The sequence below is a fragment of the Homo sapiens genome, chromosome 11 (genome assembly GCF_000001405.40).
Source record: "Homo sapiens chromosome 11, GRCh38.p14 Primary Assembly".
Classification (NCBI taxonomy): Eukaryota; Metazoa; Chordata; class Mammalia; order Primates; family Hominidae; genus Homo; species Homo sapiens.
This window is the reverse complement of record NC_000011.10, coordinates 29,594,628-29,613,266: the sequence shown is the minus strand read 5'-3', so window position 1 is coordinate 29,613,266 and position 18,639 is coordinate 29,594,628. Positions and strand designations below refer to the sequence as shown.

Sequence of the window (18,639 nt, the reverse complement as noted above, 5' to 3'; positions counted from 1 at the left end):
TGAAGCATAACAAATATGACTGGACAGATCTGGACACAGGCTTAAAGAATCTGGGTCACTGGGTCCCAATATGTTAAGAGCAAACACTGGTATTCTATGGGATATACTGAGATACCTCATATTTAAAAATCTCAAAGTTGGCATTTCTCCAGTTCCCAGAAAATACTAAAAGTGACAATGATTTATTTATTAACTTAAGCTTTTGTTCAACACATTTTTTAACTAAACCATTAATACCTATACCTCTTATGTGCTAATAAAAGTGCTCATTGAAGACATAACAAATTATCCGGTAACTATATATTTAATGGAAAAAGCTAGAAAATTGCTAATTTTGTCTGACAGCTTATTTTGTGAATACACATTTATGGTTGCTCTTTGATATGTATTAACTACCTCATTGTAGTTATGGTTGAGGTTTTCTTCTAGTCCTAGAAACTACATGATGAGGGAGTTCTGAGGAAGGCAATTGCCCTACTGTGGGACGGAGAAATTAAGTCCTTTTTCCATAGAGGAGATAGCTCTGGAGCCAGATCTAAAAGGATTGTCAGGATTTTGAGAACTAGAGAGGAGGGTTGACCAGCAGGAGTCCCGGTGGGAGAGTAAAACTGGGTCTGTCATATATGGAAGGCTACTCAAGCTAAAACATCTGGAGTGGAAGGCTCATTGCAGGTGGTGAGCAATAAGAATAAAATGTTTGCTGAATTCTTGTGTAAGACATCTCTACATGATTTGGGATCTTGATACTTCTGGGAGCCTCAGATATTTACCTCCTGATATCAGGAAATATTTAAACTGCTTGATGTCTTCATTGAGTGGCTTTGGCTAAGAGGCCAAAACTCAAATGTTCTTCATTAATGCCAGAGCCAGATGTCATCCATTATGATGACCTTGCCAGTCTTCTGGACCCTGGGACCATACTAGCTGGCATCTGAGCCTGAGATCTACTTCCCAGCTAAGCTACCAACATACTTGGCCAAACTACACTTTCAAAATGACAAGATGTAAGAAGTCTGAAGATGGCACCTTCTGAGCTTCAGAATTTCAGGAACACTCATAAAATCTCTGCCTATTACAAACCATTCTCTCCATCAATGGAAATAAGTAATCATTTCAAATTTCTCCTTTGAGGGTATTGTGAAAATGTACATCTGCTTGCCTGCTACTTTGCCCAGCTGACCATTAATAGACTTGAGTTTTCTTCCAATCTATCATGATATGAAAGGTCATCAACCCTGAAACTTTCAAAAGCAGGGACTTCCTGGCAAGAGATTTGTTGGTGGGAAAATTGAAAAAACCAACATGTACTCTGACATTCTACAGTGGCATGGACATAATACAAATTTACTCTTACTTTTCATAATTTTATTCCATAAAATTACCGTTGTTTTGTAATGGTGACCCAGATGGTAGGCATTTTGCATAGAAAGAGGATGGAAACATCTTCTGATAAGATGTGAAGCAAGCCAAGACCTCATTTTCTTTCCTTTTATGGAATTGTGGCTATAGACATATTTTCCCTCTCTCTTTCAAGGTGCGGAAGGCTCCTTGAAGGCTGAGTGAAGTTTCCTTTCTCTTTGCACTAAAACTCCTGTTTTAATTTTTAGCACAGCTATCATAGTGCACTGACATATCCACTTATTTGCCCACCTGCCCCTTTGGGGAAGGAACCTAGTTTATTGATGATTATGCTGCCATTGGAATAAAACTGAATTTTTCATTAGAATTGCAAGGCATGCCTGATTAGCCTTCTGCTACATCTACCACCTCATCAGCACTTTCTCATTTGCTTGGTACTTTAGTTTACACTGGCCTTATTCAAGATCCTTGAACTTTTCAAAGGCTTTATTTATTGTTGTTGTTGTTTGAAATTCTATTCCATTTACCAAAATCTCTGTATTCTGAAGCAGTATCTTAATAACTACAGAATCCAAGTATGTAACTATGAAAATGTTGATGGTAATAATAACAATGATGATGATATTTTTAGGTTATGATTTTGTGCAAGTCACTGTGCTAGGTTTTCCAGTGGATTTCCTCATTTATTCCTATATCAACTCTATGATGTAGATATTGATATTATTATCTTAATTTATAGATGAGAGAACTGAAGCATAAAGAGAATAAGGCAGTTTCTGAAGGACAAACAGTTAGTGCTGAAACTGTGTGTCAAACTTAAGAAGCCTACCTCTAGAAAGTTGTTCTCAAACCATTCTCCTATAGTGCCTCTTACAGTACAGGCCTTTCTGGGCTTTAGAGAATGCCTTGGTCTACTCAAGGATCTAATCTATTTGAAGTGTCTTTCCTGAAGTGGAGGTGAATGATAACTCTTTCTATCAATCTATCACGGATAAAACTCCTACATATGATGGGAGGCTGAGTCCAAACCAGCTTACTGTTTTCTACACAAGGCATATGCGTCTATGTCTTAAGAACTGCCTGCAGAATCTCTTTCTCTGCCTCTCATTTCTTTCTCAACCATAAGAACTTGCTTAGTCTTGCTGACACCAAGTGTTTCGTCTTTAATTTTGACTAAAATTTTGTCTAGTCTCTCTTTTGGTTAAGTGCTTTTTCTGACTATTTTTACTGTATTTTCTAACCTCTTGTTCTGAAGTTATGGGCTAACTTCCCATACATATAGTCACTTAATTCTAAATTCTAAAATCCCTATCTGAGTCTGATTTTCCAGATCCTTGCTTGTGCAGGATGAAAATAAAGGTATTATAAATGATTACATATGTTTGTCATTTTCAACAGGGTTGTTCTACCAAGTTTTAGAGTGCATTCACATTTGAGCTCCAACATAATTGACGTTAAAATGGACAGTTTTCTTCAGTGATTTTCTTCATTACCAGATAGGATAGTTTGCACTGTGACATTTCTCACATCACTCTATGAAAAAGAAGCAGAACTGGATCATGGTTAAAAGCATGTGTTTTGCAATAGGACAGATATGGGTTTGAAGGCAAGCTTTGCAGTTGGTAACTACATCCCTCAGCAAGCTACTGAAACCTCTCTAAGCCTCAGTGTTCTTATCTGAGAGGTAAGGATAATGCCCGTGCTAACCTCAAAGAATTATCATAAAGTTATAAGATAATGCACATGAAGTCTTTACAATATTTCCCGAAACCTATTCAATGAGCAGTTGACATTATTATGTGAAGTTCTCTTTTAAAAGGTTAAGGCCACCAAAAATTTTGGTCCAAAAAGGCTAATGTCCATTATCTTTGTTATTTTGAGCCACCATTTTTGTCTACAAACAACAGTTATGTGAGCTAGTGATCAATTTACAATCAGAATTAACTAAATGGAGAGGATGTGGATTTTTAAATGGAACACTTGAGACTCCTAAGTCACTGTCACTGTATACTATATTTTGGTAATAAAAGACAAACTACATAGTTGCTTCTATCTGTGGTGTCACCTTCAGGGGATTGCTTCAGCTTTATAGGTTGAGAAAGTGAATTTCATTAGCTCATTCTGGGATGACCAAAGATATTTATCAGTTGTTTTCAGGGAAATAACACATGTCATTCAAACTAACATAGCCTGGAGCTAAATCAAAACACTTTTCCTAAAATGTAAATATGATCATTTCATTTTCTTCCTTGGCACTCATCAATGGCACGCATCAATGTCTTCCCATTTGTCTCAGGAAAGGTACTAATATCTTAACCTACAAAATTCTCCTGTGCTATCTCCTGTGAACCTGGCCACCCTCATGTCTTTCCACTTAGCCTTTGCAAATGGTACTCTGAGCATAGTGAACGTTTGACACTTGGTAAAATTGATCATACTTCCAGTAGACTATGAGTCTTTCCAGATGCTATTCATTGATCTTAGAATACCCTGCCCCCTGCTTCTTTTTTCCAGAATCACTCTCACTAATCCCTTAGTCCAAATTAAGTATAATTTCTTCTGGAAAGTCATTGTCGTCCCCATATCTCTGGTTAGGTTCCCTTGCACCCTGCATTATCCCACTGTGCTGTTATTGACTGTTGACTTACTTTTTCTAATTGAATGTAAGTTCAGTGAGGGCAGGGATCTTGTCCACTATGCCTACCACTCTATGTCTAGAACTCAAAATGTACATGAAAAATATTTTCTACTGAATAAATAGGAATAAATAAATACAATTTTTGTAATGGGAGAAATCTTTGTCAATCAGAACTTGGTGTCTGCAAGTAAGACTCTCTGTACCCTTTCAACAGGTTTACTCTCAACCTGCTTTTTGGTGAGTGAGCTTACCCAGCAGGGTTTAATTATGAAGCAATTGCATACTGAGTGCAATTTAAATATATCTATACAGTTTTATAAGCCTGATGATTTACCCTTCCCTATTGCAGGTATTTGTTTCAAAATCTGCGATCATCTAATTTAGAATCAGTCTGCTTTTTTCTCTGTCTCTGTGTTGCACCTATTTTTTAAATGCTTTTTCACTGGACTGTGAAGTCTAGTCATTTCTTCCATACTAGCTTTAGGCTCATCAGTTCAGGTACAGAATTATATCTTAGTGACTAGGCATGACTCAAGCTCCTCGAAGTAAGAGCATCTTCCGATTTTAAGTAGGACCACTGAAATTCCTCTACTTTTACTACCCAATTTTTAATCTTTTCATTTTTATTCATTTTAACTTTTTTTTTTTAGGTTTGGGGGCACATGTGCAGGTTTGTTATATAGTTATATTCATGTCACAGGGACTTGTTGCACAAATTATTTCATCACCTAAGTACTAAGCCTAGTATCCAACAGTTATTTTTTCTGCTCGTCTCCCTCCTCCCAACCTCCACCCTCAAGTAGACCCCAGTGTCTGTTGTTTCTTTCTTTGTGACCGTAAGTTCTCATCATTTAGCTCCCACTTATAAGTGAGAGCGTAGGGTATTTGGTTTTCTGTTCCTGCATTAGTTTGCTAATTAAATGGCCTCTAGCTCCATCCATGTTCCCACAAAAGACACGATCTCATTCTTTTTTATGAGTGCCTAGTATTCCATGGTTTATATGTACCACATTTTCTTTATCCAGTCTGTCATCGATGAGCATTTAGGTTGATTCCTTGTCTTTGCTATTACGAATAGCGCTGCAATGAAGATTTGCATGCATCTGTCTTTATTGTAGAATGATTTATATTCCTCTGGGTATATACCCAGTAATGGGATTGCCGGGTCAAATGCTAGTTCTGCTTTTAGCTCTTTGAGGAATTGCCACACAGCTTTCTACGATGGTTGGATTAATTTACATTCCCACCAACAGTGCCTAAGTGTTCCCTTTTCTCTGCAACCTTGCCAGCATAAATTATTATTTTTTTATTTTTTTAATAATAGCCATTCTGACTGGTTACTACCTAGTTTTTTAAAAGACCAATTTCTAGCTACTTTGTTTTTTTGTCATTGCTAACTGATGATTTAATGACTTCTTCCTTCACGTGGCATGCTCCATTCACATACCTAGTAAGTGACCTTGGCTTTGGTCCTCAATTCGGTCTTTGCCTCTGGGACTGAACCTGAAGTTAAATCACTGCTTCTGTCCCCATGGACTCTTTGGTCATGCCTCATTGACACTAGCCAGCTAATTTTGGTATATCCCTATGTGTCTCTCCTTCCTGAAACTCAGTCTAAATGAATGGCTTTCTCAGATTGAAAAGAAACTTTCTTCACTAATGAAACAGGATGAGCTCTGCTACACTGTTAGAATTTCTAAATAAGATTCTATTTCATGTATATTTTAGGCAGGCTGATTCTCAATGGGAGTCATTATCTCAATAATGAAGGGGTTAAGGGAATAAGGCCTGAAGTCACACAGGCCTTCAATACTAGCTATGTGACTTTGGGGAAATCATTTCTCCTCTCTAAACCTAAGTTTCTCCATATATAAATTAAAGAAAAAATAATAGTACTTAACATATAAGGTTGCCATAACATTAGATGATGCTTATAAAGCTCTTATCCCAATGCCTGCACAGACTAAATAAATAGTACAGGTATTATTATTTTTATTATTATTAATAGTCGACTATGTTAAAATACTACAATGGAACTCCCAGTCTCTAACCCAGTATTTCCAGTCTGGCAGTAAATCCTGAAAACTAATTTGGGTGATGAAAATATCAATAATATTAGAGCCGATATACTGGTCATAATGACAAAAAGAACTGGTGTATGGGTATCAATTGGTTGCTTAAGGCCGAAGACAACATCGCTGCTTTAGTGACACCTAAATTCCCAGGGAGAATCCTAAAATTCAACAATAATGACCCTGTTCATACTCGGGTCCAAAGCCTGCCTCAGGGAATATATTGCCTTTATGAGATGACATTGGAAAAAACAAAATAACCCTTTGGCATTTGCATTATGAAATCAAAGGACCAGATGTCATCGTAAGTGATTTGTGTTTATTTGTGTGTGTATGTCCCTGAATACAGGACATGTACTATTGATTTTCAACCAACAGTTGCACAACGGCTTCTACAGCCTGACCTTGGATTATCTGGGTTGCACATAAAAAAGTTCCTTAGACTTTTTATCACATCATGATTCTACCCAGGCACAAGGAGGAGGGAGATGAGGATGTAAGGACAACTTCAAAGCTCTATGGAGAATTAATAGCTTTTTGTATTTCTTCTTGTTAACAAGGTGGATAAGAGGAGAGACATCTAATTAGAGGCTGGAAGTGTGGAATGGCAGAGCTGTAGAGGATTTTGACTCAGTTGATGCAATCCCTCATTTTACAGAAGAGAAATCGCAGGCCCAGGAAAGTGGGTCACTGGCTCAGATTCATGTGATACACAAGAGCCAGGTCTGTAACTCAGCTCTTCAGACTTTGGGTTTAGTTGTTATTAGTTAAAATCTTTATATTACTTCTCTTAAGTCTTTAAAGTACAGTACCACTGGAATATATTAGTGCAGGACTATCAATCAGTAACTTTTATAGGACAGTAGTTAAGAGCATAGGAACTGACATCAAGCAAACCTGGGTTCCAGTCTTGGTTCTACTGTTTGCAACATGACTTCAGACAAGTTACTTAACCCCACTTGTCATAATTTTCTTCATTTGTAAAGAGTAAAATCATAGTTTACATCTCCTTTTATTTTTGTGACAGTTAAATGGGATAATAAAGATAAATGATCAAATATACATAACATAAAACTTACCATTTTGAACCATTCTTAGTTAGATGGTCCTGTGGCATTAAATATATTCACATTGTTGTCTAACACTAGCTTTTGATTTAAAATATTTTAACATAGATATATTACTATGATTTTAATATTTCTTTCCACCCAAAATTCATATGTTGAAATAGTAAACCCAACATGAGAAAGGGCCTTTGCAGAGTGATTAGGTAAAAGGGACAGAGTTCTCGTGGATATGATTCATGCTTTTCTGAAAGAGATCCCAGAAAACTTTTTTGTTCTTTCAACATGTGAGGAAAAGCTAGAAGGGGGCATTTATGAACAAGAGTGTGGGCTCTCGCCAGTCACCAAATCTTTTGGCACCTTGATCTTGGACCTCCCAGCTTCCAGAACTGTGTGAAATAAATGTGCGTTGTTGATAAGCCTCCCAGTTTATGATATTTTCTGAAGCAGGTCAATCTGACTACAAAAAGTATTTCTTTTTGGTAAAAGCTTCTACATGTGGCTTCTATAAAGGGATTAGGGATCTCATAAGGTACTGAATTCCATAAATGTAGAAAGACTTTTCAAAGACTTCATATGCCCCCCCGCAAAAAAAAAAAAAAACTACTACAATTCACCCCCTTTGTTGTGCAGTATCAGATTACGCAGACGATATTTAAATTTCAAACTACAACAGTACCAGATGTTTCTGCCTAACACAGTGCAGTTATTTTGTACACAAAATAAAATGTGCTTTCCTTTACCCTAAAAAGCAGGGAGGGTCATGTTTATAGCAGGTATCTCATTAGTGGGTATTTCATTCCATGTCATAGCCGATCCACTCCATAGTGCAAGCATCTCTCTTACATGGCCCCTGTGACTTGGTGTATCCAGTGGTATGTGAAATATCTTTGGAAAATCAAGTTGCCTTATGGAATCCAACCCAATATCTGTTTAGAGTCCCTAAAGCACTGTGCTTAAGATCGCAGACTCTGAAACCCAAACTGCCTGACAACAACTCGAGCTCCATCATATTCTTGCTTTCTGACCTCAGACAACTTACTAACTGATTTTTCCTCCCCATTTTTTTTTGTAAGTATCTATGTGCTACAATTCCTAGAAATACTAAATGGGCTAATAGATGTAAAGTGCCTGGAAAAAGGCATGGGATAAAATAAGCTCTAACATATATGTATTTGATAATCTGTTACTATATCGATTCTGACTCTAGTTCCATGATGAGCCCTTTGATATTCTCTACCTTCTAGAGTAAATTGTAATGATAACTATCAATAACATATCTGATATAAAATAGTAGAATAAAGGAAGAAGAAAACAAATGAAATTTATTTCAGGTAAATAAATAGCAAGAAATAAACCGTGGGCAGGCATAGTGGTCCTTATTTCCCCTTTAGTCACAGGGCAGAGTCATGGCTGGTATTTATACTTCCTGCCTCTACCACCAAGCCCATATTTCCTTTAAACCAGCTGCTTCAGGGTCAAGGTCACCTGGTATCCCAAGACCCGGAATTCATTCTCTACCAAAGCATAGTAGGATATTAAAAGTGATTTTTAACATGAAGAGATCATGCATTTGCTTTAAAATGCAAGATGTGTCCACCAGGATCTCTCTAGATTTCTTCTAAAGAGAATATCTTGATTTGTCATTTGCCTTGCTGAACTTATCTCTGTATCCACAACACAAATGGACTCACATAAAACTCCCAATAATATTTCTTGAAGGGAAATCCTCAACAATTAAAATGTAAACCATGTGAGGGTAGGCTTTCCTTGGTTTCATTTACTACTATACCCTCAATACCAAAATCAATACCTGGTGCAAAATAGGTTCCCATAAAATATTCTTCAAAAGAATAAGCAAATATACAAAATAAATGAAACTTAAAAAAGAATTATTTGATAGCATGAAAGTTCAGGAGTGTTGATGTGGGTGAAAGTAAATAAAGGTAGTTGGGCATTTCTCCTTCCACATCTTAAATACTGAGTATTTCAAGGAAATGTGATTTGCTTATGGTTGATTCAAGGCCTTTGTGCTACAGTTAAAGTTTTACCATAAATTCTGGTTCGAAATATTAGGTAATATTTTCAGAAGGTGATGCATGTCTAGAAAGATAGATATGGGGTTGAATTCTGTTTTACCATAAATTCTGGTTCAAAATATTGGGTAATATTTTCAGAAGGTGATGCTTGTCTAGAAAGATAGATATGGCATTGAATTCTGTAGGTGACCATGATAGCCTTCTTTGACAATGAATACTCAAATTATATTTCATTATTTAATATTGTGTGCAAATTGGGAGAAAGGAAGCTTTCTTAGTCTTTTAAACTGCTATAACAAAATATCATAAACTGGGTAGCTGATAAACAACAAATATTTATTTCTTACAGTCCTGGAGGGTGGGCAGTCTAAGATCAAGGGACCTGCAGATTCAGTGTCTCGTAAAGGGCCTGCTTTCTGTCTCATAGACACTGCCTTATCTCTGTGTCCTCACATGGTGGAAGGGGCAAGGAATCTCAGTCTCCCTCAGGCCTTTTTTTTTTTTTTTAAATAAGGGCACTAATTGCATTCATGAGGGCTTTGCCCCAATGACCTGATCACCTCCCAAAGCCCTCACTTCCTAATGCTATCATTTTGGAGGTTAGGATTTGAATATATAAACTTTGGCAGTCACAAAATTCAGACCATAGCAGAGGCCCTCATGTGATTTATGACTTGTCTCTAAATGGAGTTAGTGCAAGGCCCTGTTGTTCTGTTAATGACTCTTGATGGCTTCATCAGTGCTTTCATTTTTTTTCATATTTTGGATATTCCCATTTATATGAGTAAGTGAGAAGAAGGTATCATTTATAATCTAATAGAAGATAAATCCTTTCGTTATTTTTGAAGACAATTTCAGCTTACGATTTTATAGAAAGGATGAGAAATAAGTTTGGAAATACTCTTTAAGAGAAGCAAAAGTCAGTTTTGAGTTACCCAGAATTTCTGGATATATACAAGAATTTATGAAATTTTCAAAAGAGGCCATCTGGATTAAGGGGGTGTAACAGAGGAAACATTTAAATTTTAGAAGGATGTGTTATTCTTTTTAACATATTGTGTCTACTTGCCAAAATGTTGGAGGTAACTTAGAATCGTAGAATATATATCTTGAATTGTTTTCAGACCAACCAAGCCCAATCCCAGGTTAAAAAGTGGAATTATGTTAATACTAATTACTCAAGGTTAGTTGGCTTTTGTTATTACTCGTGCCATGTGACCAAGCTCTGTAACATCTTCTTCAGTTAGAGATCCCAGGCTGTTTCTCACATAGCTTCACAAATATGAAAATACTTAAAACGTGGACTCCTCAGTTGTCCCGTAGGAAATGAGACACAGCCTCTGCAAAGACTATCTGATTTGTTGAGCCACTGCTTCTTGTGGATTCACTGTACGCCTGTACACATATCCTAAAACCATATTTACTTAAGCTATTTTATGTGTGAGCCTGATGGCTTATCTGTGCTCAAGTAAAACACACACACACACACACACACACACACACACACATATTATATGCTTTTTTCTCTCCCATCATTATGGTAGATGGGATAAGTTTATTTTTGTGCTCTCCTCTGGGTCTCAAAATGTGTGAAATAGTAAAAAAGCCGTTGTGCTACTTCCGTAAACTAAAAACACTGAAAAGATATCAAAATAAAGACAACTGGAAGGGTTTGTAACTTGAATTTAACTATTACTGGGTTTGTAAGAAGGGATCTAAGCATCCTGTAATCCTCAGAGTCTCATTGTGGAAGGAAGTTCAGATGATAGAAATCCAAAATTGGTTTAAGAAGAATCTTGTGCTTTTCCAGTGAAAAGATCTCATCTTCAAAGATGGCACCCAAATGCTGCCATTTTTCTACCCTGTTTTCTCTTCTTGCCTTCTGAGGAGGTAATTTTTTTTTATAATCTATATAAGCCAAGAAGCTCTTTGAAAGTATATCTGTAGGACTTATATCATTCCAATTATACCAGTGAATAACCAAGAATAATTAAAAGTTCAATTCAGATATTGGATTCTCACAAAACACAGGAAATGGCATATTAATTCATGTTTAAGCAAAACTTTTAATGTCATCTCTATCAATTCTGTTTTGGTCTCTTGGACACTGCAGTGGTTCTCAAGTTTTCTGTGCCTTTTTCGTGAAGGCAACCCCCACACTCTAGGCTTTGTCTCCAATTAGATGCTAATTGTGGGGTCTGGGTGCTCTGGTTTCTCTCCTTGCTCTTTTGTACAGCTCACTGTCATTCCTCTGCCTTTCTGTATCTACGTCAATTAGTGGAACAGAGGAAATAAGCAGCATGCCTTTGTTTCCCTATAATCATCTTCCTCTCTTCCCTAGTTGGTAAGGCATATCTATAAAATTTACGTGTTTCTCTTATGTATTGATGTGGACTTAGGGTATCAATTCAGGTAAAGTTTTTAGTGCTAAATGCTCACTAAGGTTGAGATGCTTAAGTGTTTATGGGCAGCTTCTGAAAGTCACATAGTTCTAACAGAGAATAAATAGAAGAGGAAAGGCCACTGCTAAGGTGGTAAAGGTCCTGCAACAGGCTGACAACACTTATCCCCCTTAATAATGTGTTTCCTCCACTCCTGTCATGTTCTACCATGTGTGATGGCTTTTGGAGAGGACTGAAAATTGGGAGAAGATGAGAATTGTCACAATGAGAGTTGTATATAATTTTAAAATCAATTTTATTGAAATACAGTTTAAGTATAGCAAAATGTATGCATTATACTTGTATATTGCTATGAGTGTTGACAAATTTATATTGACATGTAACTTCTACCACAATCAAAATATAAAACATTGCCCCCCAAATTTAACCTGTGCCCGAGATAACCACTGGCCTGCTTTCTACCATTATATATAAGATTTGCCTTTTATAGTTTTATATGTAAGTGAAAACAAGTATTATATACTCATTTGTATCTGCTTCTTTTGCTTAGCACATTTCTGATATTTATCCATATTGCTTTGTGCACTAGTAGTTCATTTTTATGTATTACTAAATAATATTCCATTGTATGGCTATACTACATTTGTTTATATATTCACCAATTGTTGAGTATTTGGGTCGTTTCCAGTTTTTGACTATTATGAATTAAACTTCTGTAATTATTCATATACAAGTCTTTGTATGAATGTATGTTTTAATGTCTCTGTCATAAATTCCTGAGAGAGAAATTTCTGGAGTATATAGTAATTGTACCTTTGTACCTTTAACTTTATAAGCAATTGCAAACTGTTTACAAACGTGATTGCAATATTTTACATTTCTACCAGCAGAATTATGATAATCCCAGTGACTTCACATTCTTGACAACACTTGGCATTGTCAATTCTTTTAATAATATTCATTCTAATGTGTATGTAGTAGTGAGAGGTGACAGCGTGCTGGCAGTCCTCACAGCCCTCACTCGCTCTCAGCGCCTCCTCTGCCTGGGCTCCCACTTTGGCGGCACTTGAGGAGCCCTTCGGCCTGACACTGCACTGTGGGAGCCTCTTTCTAGGCTGGCCAAGGCTGGAGCCCACTCCCTCAGCTTGCAGGTAGGTGTGGAGGGAGAGGCGCGAGCGGGAACCGGGGCTGCCTGCGGCGCTTGCAGGCCAGCTGGCGTTCCGGGTGGGCGTGGGCTTGGCTGGCCCCGCACTTGGAGCAGCCGGCCAGCCCTGCCGGCCCCGGGCAATGAGGGACTTAGCACCCGGGCCAGTGGCTGCGGAGGGTGTACTGGGTCCCCCAGCAGTGCCAGCCCACCAGCGCTGCTCTCGATTTCTCACGGAGCCTTAGCTGCCTTCCCGCGGGGCAGGCTCGGGACCTGCAGCCTGCCATGCCTAAGCCTCCACCCACTCCATGGGCTCCTGTGCGGCCCGAGCCTCCCCGACGAGCACCACCCCCTGCTCCACGGCTCCCAGTCCCATCGACCACCCAAGGGCTGAGGAGTGCGAGCGCACGGCGCGAGACTGGCAGGCAGCTCCACCTGCAGCCCCGGTGTAGGATCCACTAGGTGAAGCCAGCTAGGCTCCTGAGTCTGGTGGGGACGTGGAGAGTCTTTATGTCTAGCTCAGGGATTGTAAACACACCAATCAGCACCCTGTGTTTAGCTCAAGGTTTGTGAGTGCACCAATCGACACTCTGTATCTAGCTGCTCTGGTGGGGCCTTGGAGAACCTGGGTGTCCAAACTCTATATCTAACTAATCTGATGGGGACGTGGAGAACCTTTGTATCTAGCTCAGGGATTGTAAAGGCACCAATCAGCGCCCTGTCAAAACAGGCCACTCGGCTCTACCAATCAGCAGGATGTGGGTGGGGCCAGATAAGAGAATAAAAGCAGACTGCCCGAGGCAGCAGTGCCAACCCGCTCCGGTCCCCTTCTACACTGTTGTAGCTTTGTTCTTTCGCTCTTTGCAATAAATCTTGCTGTTGCTCACTCTTTGAGTCTACAGTGCGTTTATGAGCTGTAACACTCACCACGAAAGTCTGCAGCTTCACTCCTGAGCCAGCGAGACCACGAACCCACCAGAAGGAAGAAACTCCGAACACATCTGAACATCAGAAGGAACAAACTCCAGATGTGCCACCTTAAGAGCTGTAACACTCATGGCGAGGGTCCGTGGCTTCATTCTTGAAGTCAGTGAGACCAGAAACCCACCAATTCCGGACACAGTAGTATCTCGTTATTGTTTTAATTTACATTTCTCTAATAAAGATCTTAAATGTCTTTTCATGAGCTTATTAGACAATTGTGTATATTGCTTGCTTTTTTTTTTTTTTTTTTTTTTGATACAGAGTCTTGCTCTATCACCCAGACTGGAGCACAGTGGCGCCATCTCAGCTCACTGCAACCTCTGCCTCTTGGTTTCAAGTGACTCTCCTACCTCAGCCTCCCGAGTAGCTGGGACTACAGGCACGCACCATTACACTGGCTAATTTTTGTATTTTTAGTAGAGACGAGGTTTCACCATGTTGGCCAGGCTACTCTCGAACTTCTGATCTCAAGTGATCTGCCTGCCTCGGCCTCCCAAAGTGCTGGGATTACAGGCGTGAGGAACTGGGCCCGGCTGTTTATTCATTTTTTATTGATTTTTTTTTTTTTTTGTCATCTGATTGAGTTGGAAGAGTTCTTTATATACTTTGGATATAAGTGCTTGTCAGATATACATATAGTGAGTATTCTCATTCAGTTGGCAGCTTCCTGTTAATAACTTCAACATTGTCTCTCAATGAGAAGACTGACTTTGAATTTTGGTGAAATCCAATTTTAAAGATTTTTTTCTTTGTATGCTTTCTGCCTTATATATCCTATGAAATCTTTTTTGACAGTAAGGTCATGAAGATTTTCTCCTCTATTTTATTTTAAAAATTTTATAGTTTTATGTTTTATATTTAGGTTAATGGTCCTTTTAAGTGAATTATTTTGTGTGTTTTATAAGGCAAAGTTTGAGATTTACTTTTTCTCCACATGAATATCTGCTTGTTCCAGCACCATTTCTTGAAATGATCTTCCTTTTTCTTTTTCCTTTTTTTTTTTTTTTTTTGAGATGGAGTCTCGGTCTGTCGCCCAGGCTGGAGTGCAGCGACACGATCTCAGCTCACTGCAACCTCTGCCTCCTGGGTTCAAGCAATTCTCCTGCCTCGGAATCCCATGTAGCTGGGATTACAGGCATGCACCACCACATTTGGCTAATTTTTTTTTGTATTTTTAGTAGAGATGGGGTTTCACCATATTGGCCAGGCTGGTCTCGAACTCTCGACCTTGTGATCCGTCCGCCTCGGCCTCCCAAAGTGCTGGGATTACAGGCGTGAGCCACCGCACCTGGCTGATCTTCCTTTTTCATTCAATTATTTTGGCGCCTTTGTGGAAACTAACTGGCCCAATGTGTGAAATTTATATGATCTATCATTTATCTATATGACCCTTCTTTTGTCAATGCCACACTTTTTTTTTTTTTTCTTTTTTTTTTTTTTTTTTTTTTAGATGGAGTTGTACTCTTGTTGCCCAGACTGGAGTGCAATGGCGTGCTCTCGGCTCACTGCAACCTCCACCTTCCTGGGTTTAAGCGATTCTCTTGCCTCAGCCTCCCGAGTAGCTCAGATTACAGGCTCCCAACACCATGCCTAGCTAATTTTTGTATTTTAGTAGAGACGGGGTTTCACCATGTTGGTCAGGCTGGTCTCAAACTCCTGACCTCAGGTGATACACCCACCTTGGCCTCCCAAAGTGCTGGGATTACAGGCGTCAGCCACCACACCCGGCCAATACTACACTTTCTTAGTTACTATAAGTTTATAGTAAATTTTGAGATTAAGTAGTGTAAATCCTCCAACTTAGTTCTTTTTCAAAGTTGTTTTGGTTCATTCATATCCTTTACATTTCCATATACAATTTAGAATCAGTTTGTAAATTTATACAAATTCCTACTAGAATTTTGAATGGTAGTATACTGACTCTACAGATTGTTATGTGGGAATATTTATCTTTGTATCTATAAGGATGGCTTTCATTTATTTTTTATTCTTTAATTCCTGTCAGTGATGTTTTGTAGTTTTCATTGTACTAGTTACGTTAAATTTATTTCTAACTATTTCAAGGTTTTATGCCATTGTAAATTATATTGTTTTTTAAATTGCAAATGTTTATTTTAGTATACAAAATACTACTCGTTTTTGCCTATTGACCTTGTACCCTGCAACACTGGTAAAATGTTGTTACCACTTACTATTTTTAGTCACTTTTTTTTTTTTTGTAGACTGTTAGGATTCTTATATATAGTCCTGAGTGTATGTCATGGGTGACTGGTGTGGAGTCCTAATTTTGGGGGTGGGGTGGAGTCAGGCTGGCAGGACCAAGGGAGAGCAAAAAGAGAAAGCAAATAAGCTATAGGTCTGCCTTTCTTCATGGTCTACAACACATAGCCCTCCCGTGCAAATAATGCACAATCTTCCTGCATGCAGCTGTCACCAGACCCTTGGCTGGTTTAAAAATTACAAGTTAGCTCACTGCAACCTTGGCATTATCAGTACTACACAAAGTTCTTTTTTAGCATACAGCTCACGCACCATTCTATAAAATCCCCAACAAGCCTCTTTTTCAGTTAGCTCCTCTCTTGCTGACCTGCCCATTGCTCCCTTGCAATATGTTTTCATACTTTCTCTAATAAATCTGCCTTTCTTTATCTACAACTGTCCTGGTAGATTCTTCTTACCCCTGTGCCACCAGCCCCAGATAGTCACCACTCACCTGCGACAGTTGTTATCCACAGGGGATTGGTTTGAAAATCCACAACCTAGAAACCAAAATCCATGAGTGCTTAAGTTTCTTGTATAAAATGGTGTAATATTTGAATGTAAACTATGCATATCCTCCCAAATACTTTAAATCATCTTGATTACTTATAATATGTAATATAAATACCATGTAATTTTTTTTTTTTTGAGGGAGTCTTGCTCTTTTGCCCAGGCTGGAGTGCAGTAGCACAATCTTGGCTCACTGCAAGCTTTGCCTCCCAGGTTCAAGTGATTCTCCTGCCTCAGTTTCCTGAGTAGTTGAGATTACAGGAGTGCACCACCATGCCCGGCTAATTTTTTGTATTTTTAGTAGAGACAGGGTTTCACCATGTTGGTCAGGCTGGTCTTGAACTCCTGACCTCATGTATTGTTTTGGGAATAATAACAAAAAATCTGTACATGTTCTTTACAGATGTAACTATCTTTTTTAAAAAATATTTTTGATCTGCAATTGGTTGAATCCATGGGCGTGGAACCCATGGATGAAAATTTTGTTAATATAGAACCCATATTACATAGACAGCTGACTGTGCATGAATGATCAAATCATCTGCAAAAGCAATATTGCTGCTTCTTTCCTATCTCTATACCTTTTATTTCATCTTCTAGCCTAATTATATTGTAATTTCAGTTCAATGTTGAAAAAAATTAACAATTAATTACAAAATAATTCCAGTTCAATGTAAGAGTGAGCATCCATGACTAATATTCAGGGTTAAATTGATAAACTTCTAGTTACAGTGATTAAAACCACAGGAAACATACATTACCAATAGGATCTGGGACAGCATTACAGATCCTCAGACATTAAAATGATATTAAGGTATAATATAAACACCCAAATGCTAATGCTAACAACTTAGATTAAGTGAACATATTCTTTGAAAGACAAGTTATTAAAACTAGATTAAGAATAAATAGAAATCCATAATCAAAACTTTATTACAAAGGAAACTCTGGGCCAGATAGCTTCCCTGGTTAATTCTATCAAACATTTAAGGGATCATTAATACTAATCTTTCACTCTTACAGAAAACAGAGAAAGAAGGAGCACTTCCTATTTAGTTTTATGAGGCCAGAGTTATCCTGATTCTAAACCATACAAAGACATTATAAGAAAATTACAAATGAATGGTCCTCTTGAACATAAACACAAAAATCATTAATAAATCAAATTTAGTAGTATATAAAAAACATTCACAAATAAAATCTAGTAATATATAAAAGGGCTAATATATCATAACCCTGTGGGGTTTATCTCAAGTCTTTAGCTTTAAGTCTTAGTCAAAAATATATTCCTTGGTGTATTAGTCCATTCTCATGCTGCTAATAAAGATATACCCACAGTTGGGTAATTTATAAAGCCAAGAGGTTTAATTGACTCACAGTTCTGCAGGGCTGGGGAGGCCTCAGGAAACTTACAATTATGGTGGAAGGGGAAGCAAACATGTCCATCTTCATGTGGTGGCAGCAAGGAGAAGTGCCAAGCAGAAGGGGGAAAGCCCCTTATACAACCATCAGATCTTGTCAGAACTCACTCACCATCATGAGAACAGCAGCATGGGGTTAAATGCCCCTATTAATCAATTACCTCCCACTGGGTCCCTCCCACAACACGTGGGGATTATGGGAACTACAGTTCAAGATGGTATTTGGGTGGGGACCCAGCCAAACCATATCACTTGGGAATGGGTATATGGTAACCTATAGTTTGCTCCTGTGGTACCTGTTAGCTTCAGCAAGTTAATAAAATTTTTCGAGGTTCTACATATTATTTATAAAGTTATTTTTGTGACTTCAAGGATCAAAATCACAGAAGAGAAATCTATTGTACCTACCTCTGTGCTATGAGCTGATTAATATCTTCGATGCATTTCTTATCCAGCTGGGAAGAAAATACATGAAATAATTAGAAAACTGTGAAACAGTGCATATTCTGAATAAATGCTGTGCGTTATGTGATTCAGAGTGGAATAGGTATTTTATAGTAAAATGGTAGATCACAATAGTCAGAAATAATACATGAGTAGGTGAATTGGGATCTGGACTCTAAAGCAGTAATTCATTTTCTCAACAATCTTATCAAAATGTACTTTGTATCATTATCAGTTATGAGTGTGTCTCATAATAAATTAGAAAAATGAGATTGCTTAAATTTTACATATATTAGAGTCACT

The 18,639-nt window shown here is 38.1% G+C and overlaps 1 long non-coding RNA gene across 1 annotated transcript in view; it reads right to left on the bottom strand.

Moving 5' to 3' along the window:
* LINC02546 (long intergenic non-protein coding RNA 2546) overlaps positions 1 to 18,639 on the bottom strand; it is a 36,264-nt gene that overhangs the window by 17,410 nt on the left and 215 nt on the right. The window contains exons 2-3 of the long non-coding RNA NR_149107.1: positions 18,301 to 18,347; positions 16,416 to 16,461 (exon numbers count right to left, since the gene is read on the bottom strand). This is a non-coding gene — a long non-coding RNA (long intergenic non-protein coding RNA 2546). The remainder of the gene's footprint in view (positions 1 to 16,415; positions 16,462 to 18,300; positions 18,348 to 18,639) is intronic.